Raw genomic sequence first — 14,421 nt, 5'->3', positions numbered from 1 at the left:
CACTTCCCATAGGCTACTCCCAGCCAATGACTGAGTGCAGTAGGGATACTAAGGCACCCCATTCCTGGGAGACACAGGATTCCTCCGACTTTGTCCCTGGGTCTCTCCCATGCTTTGCTGAACCTGCCTTAGGCTGCACAGCAGCCTGGGATGCTTCCACTCAACTTTCTCTCCCTCTCTCCTTCTGAGGGCTTAGACTTACTCTCCCTGCCTTCTCTGGGTCTCTCCCTATTTTCTTTCCCACAAGCATTTTCCCTAATAAAAACCCATGTGCATTTAAGCCCAAGTTGGCATTTGCTTCTTACAGGACCCAAGCAAACACAACTTCCCAGCAGTCTTGAAATCCTAAACCTTGCTACCTCCTCCTTCCCATTCTCCATCTCACCATCATCTTTACCAGGAAGTGTCAGTTAAAGCAGAAGGAAAAGGTCGAGAATCAGATTAGAGGACAGACATCTTGTTGCAGTTCCAGGTTCTATGCGGTACTAGACACAGATCTAGTCACATTTCACCTATTTTGATTCATATTCCATTTCCATTAGGATGTATATATCACCCCAACTACTGGGAGTTTGGGTATATTTTTGCTGAACACACATTCACTAACAAGACCAATGGTATTCAATAGAAATATAATGCAAACCACACGTTATTTTAAATTTTCTAGTATCTACATTGGAAACTAAAAAAAAAATCATAAAATTATTTTTAATAACAGATTGCATTTAACCCAATATATCAAAATATTATCATTTCAAAATATCTTTAAAATCTAGTGTCACTAAAATGTCATTAAATATCATTAAAATCCAGCATGTATTTTACACGTACAGCACAGCTTGATTCAGACTAACTACATTTCCAGTGCTCCGGAGCCCCACGTGGTTAGGGAATATTGTATTGGGTGGCACAGAACTAGGCTGTAAGTGCCTTGAGCATAGTGGTGAGTTTTCTTCTAACTTTTGAATTTTCCCAATTTCTTGAAATTTTCCTACTCAGAGAGCAACCAGGACCGTAATGGACATTTAGTAGGTGCTTCGTAATTACTTGTTAGCTGGTTATTTGTACATGACATGGTGCAGAAAGTGGATAAGTGTCCCTTACTCACATGCCTATAAAGGCTCAGAAGTAACTTGGGCGATAGGGCAGGCTGTAGGGACTGGGGTGCATCACAGCATGCCCCACTCCACCATCTGCAGGGGCCAGCCACCTCCCAGTTTCAGGTGGTCATTGACATCTGTGGGGGTGAATCTCATATGGTTTCTCAAGAGAGGCCAGAAATAGATTTTTACATGCAATTTTTGAGTTGTTGATATCAGCAATTAATTCAAATGTAAAAAGTCAGTGCTAGCTTGTGGAACACACATGCTTGTGATTAGTACTGTCCACTGTATGTAACTCCTTTGAGGACAGACAAAATACAGTGACAAGCTAATTCATATTAGTAAGAGAAGTAAACAAAAAAAAATCATAAAACTGCCATATTGCCTTTTTGTGAGGAAGGGGGCAGTTTTAATATGTTTTTGAAAGCTTGGGTTAACCTATTTCAGAAATATAAATATCTGGTTTCTTAACCTCTCTCTGTCTTTCTCTCTATGTACATATAGCTAGACCTTTATGTTTCCCTATAGAAGCCTAGCTAGATGAGGCACAACAGCTTTAAATGCTTGGCATCACCATTGCTAACAACCCATGGGGCAGAAAGTGCTTACTGTATTTAAATGTGACAATGTCAAAATCCTTTCCATTCTCAGCTACAAAAGAGCTGTGACCTCTTGTTGGTAGAGAGAAACTTAGGAAGTAACCTCGTGAAGCACTGCTGTGGCAGGACAGCTGTAACCCACGCTCCTCTGGTTTTGCCTGGGGTTCAGAGTGGCCAAGAAGCTCTTATTCGGCACCATGAACATTCTGGATGCAATCCTGAGCATCCTCCATGCTGATACCACATTGTTGTGGGTGTAGATTCAACGCTGATTCTGTAGATCTGGGCTCGAAGCGAGTGGAGCTGCCACTTCCACTGATGGTAATGCATCTGAAGACAGGCACAATAAAAACTACAGTGCCAAATGTTTCCTTCACCACTCGGGCTGACTTACTGTCACTCCCTCCCAGGTCTTTAAACCGAGGATTTTCTGATTCCAGGGCCATGATTCTTTCATCGTGCTCTCTAGGCAGAGGGTGCTGGCCTGCACATATCACCTTCACTGCTGAGCCACTCTGTCTCCCCACAGCCATTGGATATGGAGGTGAAATAGCACCTCCTACAACAGCGTCTATGTCCTGAGGCTCTCTGCATGCCAGGCACAGCACTGTTTGACTTGCATCATTTCCATTTGATCCTCACAGCATCTCTGTGAGGAAGGTGCTATTATACCCAATTAACAGATGAAGATATGGAAGCTCATGGAATTTAGGTCACTTATACAAAGTCCTCCCAAAGCTAGTAAATAGCATTCAGATTTGAACCTGGGATTTTTTTTTTTTACATTTATTTATTATCCAATTCACCTCCTAAAAGGATTGGAGGCTAGCATTGTCAGCAGTGATAAAACCCAGAAGTTACTTTTATAAAACTGATTTTAGTGGAAAGTGAGGTGAGGAGGGGGGATTCAGGGCAGGCTCAAGTGAATTTTTTTTTACTACAGGAATCTATACTTCTAGACAGGTCTGTGTCAATGAATACTTTTATTTAGGTTGTCAACTATGAATTAAGGTAATATTTTCCTGGGTTGCCCAAACTTGGAATCATCAATCACTCCTCCCATTCCCACACTTGTCCAATCAGCACTTACTCTCCCCAAATTTGGCCCTCTTCTCTGCTCCTATCGCTGCTCCCACAGTGCAGGTCCACATCATCTCTTGCTGAGTATCGAAGTAGTTTCCAAACACGTCCTCCCTCTGTTCCTTTTTCCTCTACACTGTCACCAGAATCTTGTTGATTTTACCTCCTAAATAGGCTTCCTTTCCATTCCTTCTCTGTTTCAGCTCAGACTTTACCATTTCTTGCCTGGTAATCTAACCTGTCTCTCTACCTCTTGGCCTTGCCCCATTCAAACCCAACTTCCAACACACCAATTAAAAATATCAATTATTGGCTTAAATTATTTACTGACCTTTTGTACATCAAAGGACACTGTCAACAACGTGAAAAGGCAACCCACAAAATGGGAGAAAATATTTGCAAATCATGCATCTTATAAGCAATTAAGATCCAGAATATATAAAGAAATCCTATGACTTAACAACAAAAAAGCAAACAGCCCAACTTTAAAATGGACAAAGGACTTAAATAGACATTTCTCCTAAGAAGATATACAAATGCCCAATAAACACATGAAAAAAATGCTCAACACCAACTACTCATTAGAGAAATGCAAATTCAAGCCACAATGAGATCCACTACACATCATTAGGATGGCTACTAATTCTTTATTTTTATTTTTTGAGATGAAGTCTCGCTCTGTTGCCCAGGCTGGAGTGGGAGTGTAGCGGCACAATCTCCACTCACTACAACTTCCCCCTCCTGGGTTCAAGCAATTCTCCTGTCTCAGCCTCCCAAGTAGCTGGTACTACAGATACATGCCACCACGTCCAGCTAATTTTTGTATTTTTAGTAGAGAAGGGGTTTCACCACATTGGTCAGGCTTGTCTCTAACTCCTGACTTCAGGTGATCCACCCACCTCAGCCTCCCAAAGTGCTGGGATTACAGGTGTGAGCAACCATGCCTGGCTCAGGATGGCTACTATTAACCACCCCCAATCCCAGAAAATAACAAGTATTGGCAAGGATATGGAGAAATTGGAACTCTTGTGCAATGCTTGTAGGAATGTAAAATGTCGCAGCTGCTGTGTAGAACAGATTGACTGTTCTTCAAAAAGTTAAATTAGAAGTACCATATAATCTATCAATCTACTTCTAGGTATATACCACAAAAACTTGAAAGATCTTATTGGCCAATCTTAGCAGCCTGGATTTTATCCTGCTGATAGTCAATAATATATTTTTTTATTGTGGTAAAATATACATAACATACAATTCACCATTTTAACTATTTTTAAGTATGCAGTTCATTGGCATTAAGTACATTCACAATGTTGTGCAACCATCACCACTATCCATTTTCATAACTTTTTCATCATTCCAAACAGAAACTCATTATTAAACATGACATCCCCACTCTTCTCTCTCCTCAGCCTCTGGTAACCACTATTTTACTTTCTGTCTCTATAAATTTGCCTACTCTAGGAACTTCTAGCTGGAATAATATAATATTTGTCTTTTGGTGTCTGGCTTAGATCACTTATTGAATGTTTTTGAGGTTTGTTCATTTGTAGCATGTGTAACAATTTCATTCTTTTTAAGGCTGAATAATATTCCATTATATACACACCAAATTTTGTTAATGCAGTAATCTGTTGGTATACATTTGGGTTGCTTCCACTCTTTGGCTAATGTGAATAGTGCTGCTACGAACATTGTTTGATTTCATTTTTGTGGGCTGGTTATCTTTTAGCTTTAAGGATATATCATGAGCACCATAATCAGTTGTCATTACTTCTACTAATAGCTTTCAGAAGAAGAAAAATACTAGAAAAAAAAAACAGAAGTAAACTTTTAATAACTTCCAGAAAATGTATGTCTTTAGATAGAAATATTTCACTCAAACCATGGAGCATACCGCTACCTAATGCTATTTCTTCACATTTATATTGCCTTGTATTACCCAATCTCTACCTTCCCAAAATAAATCGTTATATCATTACTCACTCCTGTTTTCAGTTGTTCCTACCATCACCAAATGTTAACCTTCAGCCAAAGTCATTCTTAAACACAAACTCCCAGGAAAGTCTAATACAGAAAGAGGGAATAATAAGTACAAATTTTGAATACTTGTTATTCCAGGCTCTGCCCCTCAGTGTACTACTTATGCTCCCTGCATTTGTTTGCTATGATGGCTATAACAAAGCACCAGGAACACAGTGGCTTAAACTACAGAAATTTGTGGTCTTAGAGTTCTGGAGGCTAGAAGGCCAAGATCAAGTTGTTGGTCTGGTTGGTATGGGTCCTTCTGAGGGCTGGAAAGAAGAATGTGTACCATGCCTCTCCCTTAGCTTCTGGTGGTTGGCTGATCATCTCTGGTGTTCCTTGGCTTGTAGAAACATCACTCTGACGTCTGCCTTAATCTTCACATGGTGTTCTTCTTGCATGCTTTTCTGACTCCAAATTTTCCCTTCTTATAAGGTCACCAGTTGTACTAGAGTAGGGTGAACACGCTTTTCCAGTTTGGCCTTATCTTAATGAGCTACATTGGCAATGGCCATATTTCCAAATAAGGTCACATTCTGAGGTACTGGGAGCTAGGATTCCAACATATAAATTTTGCAGGGGGCCACTATTCCACCTGTATCATCACCTCATTTCACTTTTCCAACAATCCATTGAGAAATTTGTTGTTATCCCCATTTCACAGAGGATGAAACTGAGGCTCAGTGAGGCTAAGTAAGTAACTCAAACTAGAACAATCAGTGAGTGACAAAGCTGGAATTCAAAACATGGTCTATCTGATTCCAAACCCCAGACTCTTCTCATTATATGAGCAGAACACTTTTATTTACAGTCTCTGTCTTATTTCTTCTCAGCTTAGTAAATATCTGCCAACTGATAGAGTCTGGGCCCTTTCACTGTTACAGAATGGTTTAGTTCCATTTCAAAATATTTACTGAGTGTCTGCTACTGTAAGTATTTCAGGCACTGGGGTTCAAAGATGACTTGAAACATGGACCAGGCTTCAAGGTACTTAAAATTTAATGGAAGAAACAGACATATAAGTAAGTCACTGTTTCATAAGGAAACATTAAGTAAGTGTTAGGTAGAGATTCAAGCCACTCTGCTGTGGAGGGATTAATATAAATCATTGGGATTCAGCCAATAACTTTTATATTCTCGCATGGATGACCAGGGACACCAGGGACCGCAGGGAGCACATTAAATACACGTTTCCCTTGCTATCACATGCTCTCCTCCTTCATGGGACGATTGCAGAAGTGCTGTCCACTGAGAATTAATTTCCGAAGCAGAATTAGCTTCAGAGAAGCCCGGTCTCAGCGTGACGCTTCTTTTTCTCCGTTGAGGTCATTCAATCTCTCTCAATGTGTAGGATCTGATTCTTGCAACATTTAATCTTAGCGTGAATCATCCTCCCTTCTCTGAGACAGATAATGAAGTTTCCACAAGAAAGCAGGAGGACATTTCCTTCTGTGGCCACGCTCACCCTGACTGTCACAAATCTGCCCTTCTCTGGGCAGGGAGATAGTGGGGGGAAGGCACACAGGAAAGCGAACAAAGCCAATTCTTTTCTTTACCCTAGCTACCAAAGTCAGTCTGCTGGATAAAATATTTCCGAAGACGGTACTTCTTCAAGCAATGCTATATACAGTCTTATGCCTTTGAAGTTCCAATAAACTAGCTACTATAGAGCTAACATAACTACACGACCCTCTCAAAATGCACACACCAGTGCACCAGAGTCTTGTAACCAACAGTGATGGAATTCCTTGGGCTTCAAAGAAAAATCTTCTTGCAGGCATGAAACTATCTGTTTAAAAAATATTCACAGGGGCCAGGCGCGGTGGCTCACACCTGTAATCCCAGCACTTTGGGAGGCCCAGGCGGGTGGATCACAAGGTCAGGAGATTGAGACCATCCTGGCTAACATAGTGAAACCCCGTCTCTACTAAAAATACAAACAAATTAGCTGGGATCGGTGGCGGGCACCTATAGTCCCAGCTACTTGGGAGGCTGAGGCAGGAGAATGGCGTGAATCCGGGAGGCGGAGCTTGCAATGAGCCTAGATTGCACCACTGCACTCCAGCCCGGGCGACAGAGCAAGACTCAGTCTCAAAAAATAAAATAAAATAAAATAAAAAATAAAAAAATTCACAGGATCAGATCATTTAGATTCCAAAACTTCCAGAGAGAGCAAGCATGAGAATCAGAGGAAGAGCAAGGAAGGAGGACACTTCATTCTTAAAAAGGGTGGTATGATACTTTTTACTCTTTGGTTTTAACTAGATGTGGCAGAAAAAGGCTAGTTAGTATTTCAGTTTCTATCTCAAAAATGGAACCACACAGATCTTCAAGTTCTCCAAATCCTCCTTGACATTCTAATTGTAACTAGAGTTCACTCATGCATTCATATAACAAACATTTGTTAAATGCCTATTATATGTGAAGCACTGGGCATATTATAGAGAAGCTTTTGGGGAGCTCAGACTGCTGGCGATGGAGATGACAATGTCAATGTCAACAACAACAAACAGATAATTAAAATGCCAGCACCTGAATGATAAAGACTTCTCTTCATTGTTTCGGTGTCTGATGTGGCTAGGACTACCATTCTGTTTTAGGCTGATGCAATAATGTCAGAACTAAAAGCTCAGTCAGGTCTTCATGAATGAGTGGTAGCTACAAAGTACTCAGTGAGACTAAGCCTTGTGGTGGAGACAAGCTGCTATGTCAGTATGGGAGAAAACTAGGAAAGGAATGAGCAAAAAAAAAAAAATCTTTCTCCCAACAGAAAAATCCCAGTACTAATGTGTATTTTCTTGGAGTAATCAGATACTATAATATGAGATATAAGGTTCTTCTAGAGTTGGTTATGGGGCTAACAGACGTATTAGTTAAGATGCTTTTGTTTCACTCTGTTGCCCAGGTGGGAGTGCAGGGGTGCGATCACAGCTCAATGTACCCTTCACCTCCCAGACTCAAGTAATCCTCCCACCTCAGCCTCCCAAGTGGATAAGACTATGGGCGCAAACCACCATGCCTTGCTAATTTTTATATTTTTTGCAGAGAGGGGGTTTCACCATGTTGCCCAGGCTGGTCTTGAACTCCTGAGCTCAAGTGATCCACCCACCTCAGCCTCCCCAAATGCTGGGACTACAGGTGTGAGCCACCTTGCCTGGCTAGTTAGGATGCTTTTGACTGTAAGAACAGAAAATCCACCAGAAGTGGCTTAGACAATAAGGGCATTTATTACCTCACATAACAATAAAGTCTTGAAGTCAGGTGATTTTGGGGTTTTAAATTCAGCTCAGAGTTCACTGGGGATCCAGATTCTTCCCATCTGTGATGGCTAATTTTTTGTGTCAACTTGACTGGGTAAGGAATACCCAGGTAGGTGACTAAACATTATTTTTGGGTGTGTTTGTGAGAGTGTTTCTGGAAGAGATGAGCATTTGAATCAGTGCACTAAGTAAAGAAGATCTGCCCTCACCATTGTGGGCAAGTATCATCCAATCCACTGAATGCCCACTGAATAGCAGAGTGAATTCTCTCCCTGTCTGTTTCTTTTTGAGATGGAGCCTCACTCTGTCACCCAGGCTGGAGTGCAGTGGCACAATCTTGGCTTACTACAGCCTCCACCTCCCGGGTTCAAGTGATTCTCCTGCCCTAGCCTCCCAAGTAGCTGGGATTATAGGCATGCACCACCACCTCTGGCTAATTTTTTTTTTTTTTTTTTTTTTTTGGTACAGACGGGATTTCACCATGTTGGCCAGGCTGGTCTTGAACTCTTGACATCAAGTGATCCGCCTACCTTGGCCTCCCAAAGTGCTGGGATTACAGGCATGAGCCACCATGCCCAGCCTCTCCCTGTCTCCTTGATCTGAGACATCCATTTTCTCCCACCCTTGGACATCACAGCTCTTGGTTCTGGGGCCTTCTGACTCTGGGACTTACACTAGCTCCACCTCCCACTGTCCCTCCCTTGACCTTGAGAACACTCCGGGTTCTCAGGCTTTTGGCCTCGGAGTGGGAGTTACATCACCAGGAGTCAATTTCCTGGTTCTCCAGCTTGCCGTTGGCAGATCTTGGAACTTGTAGGCCTCTATAATTGTGTGAGCCAAGTTTCATTATATGTCTCCTCTTACATCTCTCTATATTTCTCTCTATATATGTTTCTCTGGAGAACCTAATAAACCATCTTTCTATTACACCATCCTCATTGTGTTAGCTTTTGGCTCCAGGCATATTCACTCATGGTTTCAAGGTGGCTACAGCAGCCCTGAGCATCATATCCACACAAAAGTATCCAATGGCCTAAGAAGAAACATCTTTATATTTCTTTTGAACAGCAAACAGAACTTTCCAGAAGCTCCTCCCGCAGAGTCCTCTATGCAAACACTAATGAAGCCACCACCTTGCTGAGAAGACTTGCCCTCGATCCCTCCTGCTCACACGATCAATCGTGCCTTACTCACGAAGCCTCAGGGCTGCATGGTGCCAAGCTCGGGCACTCATCTGCCTGCCTGTCCCAGGCCTGTGGGCTGTGTGTCACCTGTGCTAAGGCCCTGGGCTCAGAGAGCTTCCATCCGAGCTGGAAGCAACACTGCAGAGAAGCTAAATAGCCCACCCCAGCCTCTGCCGGGGACCCAGGAGGAAGCAGTAACGGCGAGGTGTGCAGCCACGGGGGCTGGTGAGGTAAGAGCACCCCCATATCCAGGTGAGGACAAAGTCATCCATGGGACATGTAGCTCTAGAATAAGGCTATTTGCACCAGGAGTTTTCAAGCCATTTTGCTTCAGAGCTCGTTTTGCAGCAGCAAACTCCAGGCCAGAGCCCAGACCTCAGCTGTACTGTGTTCTGTGTGCAGGGAAGCCCATGAACTTTGACAGCTATGGAGACATACATGTCCCTGCTGTGATCCTGAAGACCTTCCTGTGAGAGCTGTCCCAACTGCTGCCCATCTTTGAGGCCTGCAGACTTCCCCTTGCAGAAGTCCCCCTGCAGACTTCCTGTCAAAACAAGAAGTATCATTGGCCAGAATTGTGGGTCGCATGCTTATTCCTAAACCAATGACTGGAAAGGAAATGGAATTATCATGATTTGTCCAACCACTGAGATTCAACCCCTGGGGCTGGGGAGAAGGCCAGCCTCCCCTGAAGAATTTGGCTGTTTGATTCCTGAACAAATGGGAATACCTATAACAAGAAAACGGGGCAGTAGTTGATGGTAGAGGGAATGGATGTAAGGTGGGCAACTAGAGGGTCTGCCACAGCAGAGGTACAAGGCAGAAGCACTTCCATGCAAAGAGCAACTCCAGCTACGGGATCCTTCTCTGATGACCACTGGGCTTGACCTTGCTTCACAGATGAGCTTCTCTTACAGGAATGAGTTTTGCTGATCTTTAAGATAGCTTCTGAGGACACTCTGTGCTGTATATTCTGCTTGTTCATATTACACCACCTTGACCTGAAGCCAAATTATGCATAAGAGTTATAAAATGGTTTATGGCTAGGCAGGCAAGCTGATGTCATTTGTCAAATGTGGCACTCTAGAATTATCCTACCAGTATAAAACCATACAAAGGCTTTTCCACAGAATATTTATAGGAAAAATGTGCTTTTGCAACAAGAATGAATCACCCTACAACTTACTCCATTTGGAATAATGAAATAAGGAACCAGCCTGTTGGGCAATGGTGAGGGGAGTAAGAAAATGGTAACCAGTGAAGATGTCTTTCAGGTTTAACCTCAGTGAACAAATTTGGGTGGTGCTTCTTGAGTTGGTCCTTCCTTGTAAAACGGAAATTATAAGCTTCTTCGAAACGGAGAAGTTTGATTTCCCATATGCAAACTACTCAGAAGTAGATGGGACCATATAAATACGCTTCAAGAAAATATTTCCAGGATACCTAACTTGGTGCTTTATATGTAGTACTGTATAGTCATCCTTTGATTAATTGATTGTCGTGGAATTCCTTCAAGAAATTATCAAAACAAGAAGATTCTCAAGTATTGCATACCTTGGCAATATTATTAGCACTAAATCTTTCTTTGCAGATACAAAAACTATCTCTCAGATTTATACCAGTGGTTTTCAGCTATGGCTGCCCATTGAATCACCTGCAGGACTTTAAACAAAGGATGCCTAGTCCCGCCCCCAGAGTTTCTGATTTGATATAGGGTAAAGCCTGGGTATTGAAATGTTTTAAAGGTGATTTTAATATGCAACCGCTGTTGAATGCCTGCATCAGAATCACCCAGAAGGCTTATTACTATACGGATTACTGGGCCCAACTTGAGAATTTCTGATTCAGTAGGTTTGGGATGGGGCCCGAGAATTTGCATCTTTGAACAAATTCCCAAAAGACGTTGATGCTGCTGGTTAGGGGACTACACTTTGAGAACCACTGATCTACAGCGGGGTTCAGCAAACTGCAGGTTGTGGGTCCAGTCTGGCTAGAGGCTTTTGTATAGCCCATGAGCTCAGAATGATTTTACATTTTAAAACGTAAAGAAGGCAAAAAAAGGTAAAGGTGTAAAGAAACAAAACCAAAACAACAACAATAGCAAAAACAAAGAAGAATATACAACAGATACCCTGCAGCCCACAAAGCCTAAAGTATTGACTATCTGGGCTTTTACAAAAAATGTTTGCTTGAGCCCTGCTCTAAAGGATCATGAGTTCTCATGGAAGAAAAGTAAGATTCTTAAGGAGAAGGGAAAAGCTTTGGTGGGAAAATTTGTTTTGGTAGGCATGGGGGAAACTCTAAACCCAGCTGTGAGATTTTTAACCCCCTACTATGTGCCAGGGGAGTGGCATAATTTCATTTAATCTTGACAACAATACAGTTAGTATCACTCCCTCTTTTATGGATCAGAAAATGGAGGCTCAAGAGATATTAACTTGCTAGTATATAAAGTTACTAAAGTCATAGAACTATTGAGGTAGGAGATGAGACACGACTCTGGAGGTTGGGCTCAGACACCAGACCAAATTGAGGACTAGCTAAAACAGGGAAAGGGTAGAAACAGCTTTCCATAGGACATGCCCTCCAGTGTGCCATGTCAGTTTACCATTGCCATGCAACACATCAGAGTTACCTCCCCTTTCCATGGCAACAACCTCACCACCTGAAAGTTACCACCCTTTTCCTAAAACTTTCTGCATAATCTGCCCCTTAATTTGCATGTAATTAAAAGTGGGTATAAATATAACTACAAAACAGCCTCTGAGCTGCTCCTCTCCACACACTGCCTATAGGATAGCCTGCTCTGCAGGAGGAGTCCCGGAGCTGTAATACTGTCACCTCCATAAAGCTGATTTGTTCTACCACTGGCTCACTCTGAAAAGAGGGGAACAACACCACTGAGGCCTTTCTGAGAGTGGAAGGTGGAAGGAGGGAGAGGATCAGGAAAAATAACTAATGAGTAGTAGGCTTAATACCTGGGTGACAAAATAATCTGTACAACAAACCCCATGACACAAGTTTATCCATGTAACAAACCTGCACTTGTACCCCTGAACTTAAAAGTTAGAAAGCAGTTCTTTTCTGAGCAAAGCCAAGAACCCTTTGGGGCTAAGCTCCAATTTGGGGCTCACCTGCCCTACACTACTATGAAAAAGCTTTCTACTAATCACACTATGTCCTAGAAGAAGCTTATATTTCTGTATAGAAGTGGTTGTAACTCCCAGAGTGAGTCTAAAAATATAGTAAGCATCTAAAAACATCCTTTTCCCCAGTGGTTCAATTCAATTTATTATTGACTGTATTTCAGGCATGTGCTAGGCACTCATGCCACAAAAATATATGAAATATTGTTCTGACCTTCAAGGAACTTACAGGATAGTGAAAGAAACAGACATGGGAAGAAGCTTATCAAAGTCGGTTGGGGCTCAAAGGAGGGCATCAAGGTGGGCAAGGTTTCACAGACCAGAGGGCCCTTGTAGGATGCTGATTCTCTAGTTGGACAAGGCTTGGTCCTACAGAGCAAACAACACTGATGCTCCAATATAGGCAAGTCCCGGATGGAAGGATTTTACCAGTTCAAAGAGTCTCTCAGGATTCCTGTAGGATGTAGAGTTCAACCTCATCTTGGCCTCTGGCTGAACAAATAAGAGACTGGGAGATAGCAGAGAGGAGGCCCCTGCCCCACCAGCAGTTAGTGCGTGAAGTCAATGTTGGTCCAATTTCAGTGAAACAAGAAACTTTCAGTTCGATTTCATGGTTTTACATGATCATTTCCAAGCAAAGTTATTAAAAGAAAGCTTTATTTAAGTTAATGCTTAGTCTGCTGATGGACAGGGAGAGTTGTAATAGAGCATGTGATAATGATGCAAGGGTTGGGTTTCATACCACCACTTTTGGGCAGAACAATCTGAAACCACCAATTTTATAGATGTGTGATTCGCCACGCCAAGTTGAGGAAGCAGGCAGGATTCTGCATCATTCACCGATGTTAGTTCAAGAGACTAATATTTTCACATCTCATTTGAATTCATTTTTAAGGGTCAAGTTTCAGGTGAAATCACTAGACAAGAAATATCATTCAGACTGCCTAGGGCTGTGTTCTGAAGCTACAGAGGTGAGTAAAACAGAGGTTTGTGTGTAAGGAATTCACAGTTCTGTTGGAGCCTGTGGGTAGGGGGAAGGAGGAGTGGGAGGCGGGTGAACAGATTAATTCAGTACAATGCAGAAAATGCTGAGGTCAAGTCAGGACAGCACGAGAACCCAAGAGAGGCACCCTTCACCTTCCAAGGGACTTAAGGAAGGCTTCCAGGGGAGACTGCAGAGCAAAAAGTTTGCTTCTGAAATCCAGTGGTGACACGTTTAGCTATTTCTTTGGGACAGGCTATTTTTTTTTTCTTACTGTAAACCACATATCCAATCCATCAGGTCTGGCCTGACTTTTAATAATTTAGGTATAGTCCTAAGGAATTCTATCATCTATCACTGAAGTACACCTGCCCCTGGGTGAGTAAGTTGAGAACAGTTTAAGGGTACAACATAACACCAGACCACAGAATCCAGAGGATGTTCTGGGAAACAACTCAACCAGAAAAAGCTAAATGTTTACATGGAAACATTCTAGAATCTGCCATTTAGGTCAGGCATTGCATTTTAAAATTTCATATGCTGCTTTTTAAAACATGGGAGAATCATGTATGATAATTGTAGATTTGGAAAATAAGGAAAAAGTACAAAGAAGAAAAAATTATTTATATTAGTACAACCCAAAGTTAATATTTTACTATTTTGGTATATTCTAAATTTTTTCCATGTCTATATAGATACATAGGTCTTTTTAAAAAAACTTAAAAATTTTTAACAGAGACTAGTGTTTCACTAGGTTGCCCAGGCTGGTCTTGAACTCCTGGGCTCAAGTAATCCTCCTGCCTTAGCCTCCCAAAGTGCTAGGATTACAGGCATGAGCCACCACGCCTGGTGATACATAGGTTTTAAGTAAATGAAATTGTAGTGCATATATAGCTATGTATAGTTTTTTATTTAGGATTATTTCATACAAATTTTTTCATGATTTCACAGTTTCATCAACATTTCTTCCACTGAGGCCAAGGGCAGTGGCGTGTCACGCCTGTAATCCCAGCACTTTGGGAGGCCGAGGTGGGTGGATCAC

At 42.1% G+C, this 14,421-nt stretch overlaps 2 annotated features.

Moving 5' to 3' along the window:
- Window positions 8,845-9,345: an enhancer, noted in NCBI's record as "H3K4me1 hESC enhancer chr1:184333099-184333599 (GRCh37/hg19 assembly coordinates)". NCBI's record gives its function as "activates a minimal SCP1, AML or CMV promoter by ChIP-STARR-seq in primed H9 embryonic stem cells {active_cell/tissue: H9 hESC(primed)}" and the evidence as "EXISTENCE:reporter gene assay evidence [ECO:0000049][PMID:30033119]".
- Window positions 9,346-9,846: an enhancer, noted in NCBI's record as "H3K4me1 hESC enhancer chr1:184332598-184333098 (GRCh37/hg19 assembly coordinates)". NCBI's record gives its function as "activates a minimal SCP1, AML or CMV promoter by ChIP-STARR-seq in primed H9 embryonic stem cells {active_cell/tissue: H9 hESC(primed)}" and the evidence as "EXISTENCE:reporter gene assay evidence [ECO:0000049][PMID:30033119]".

The sequence above is a fragment of the Homo sapiens genome, chromosome 1 (genome assembly GCF_000001405.40).
Source record: "Homo sapiens chromosome 1, GRCh38.p14 Primary Assembly".
Taxonomy (NCBI): domain Eukaryota; kingdom Metazoa; phylum Chordata; class Mammalia; order Primates; family Hominidae; genus Homo; species Homo sapiens.
This window is presented reverse-complemented; position numbering and strand designations above follow the sequence as displayed.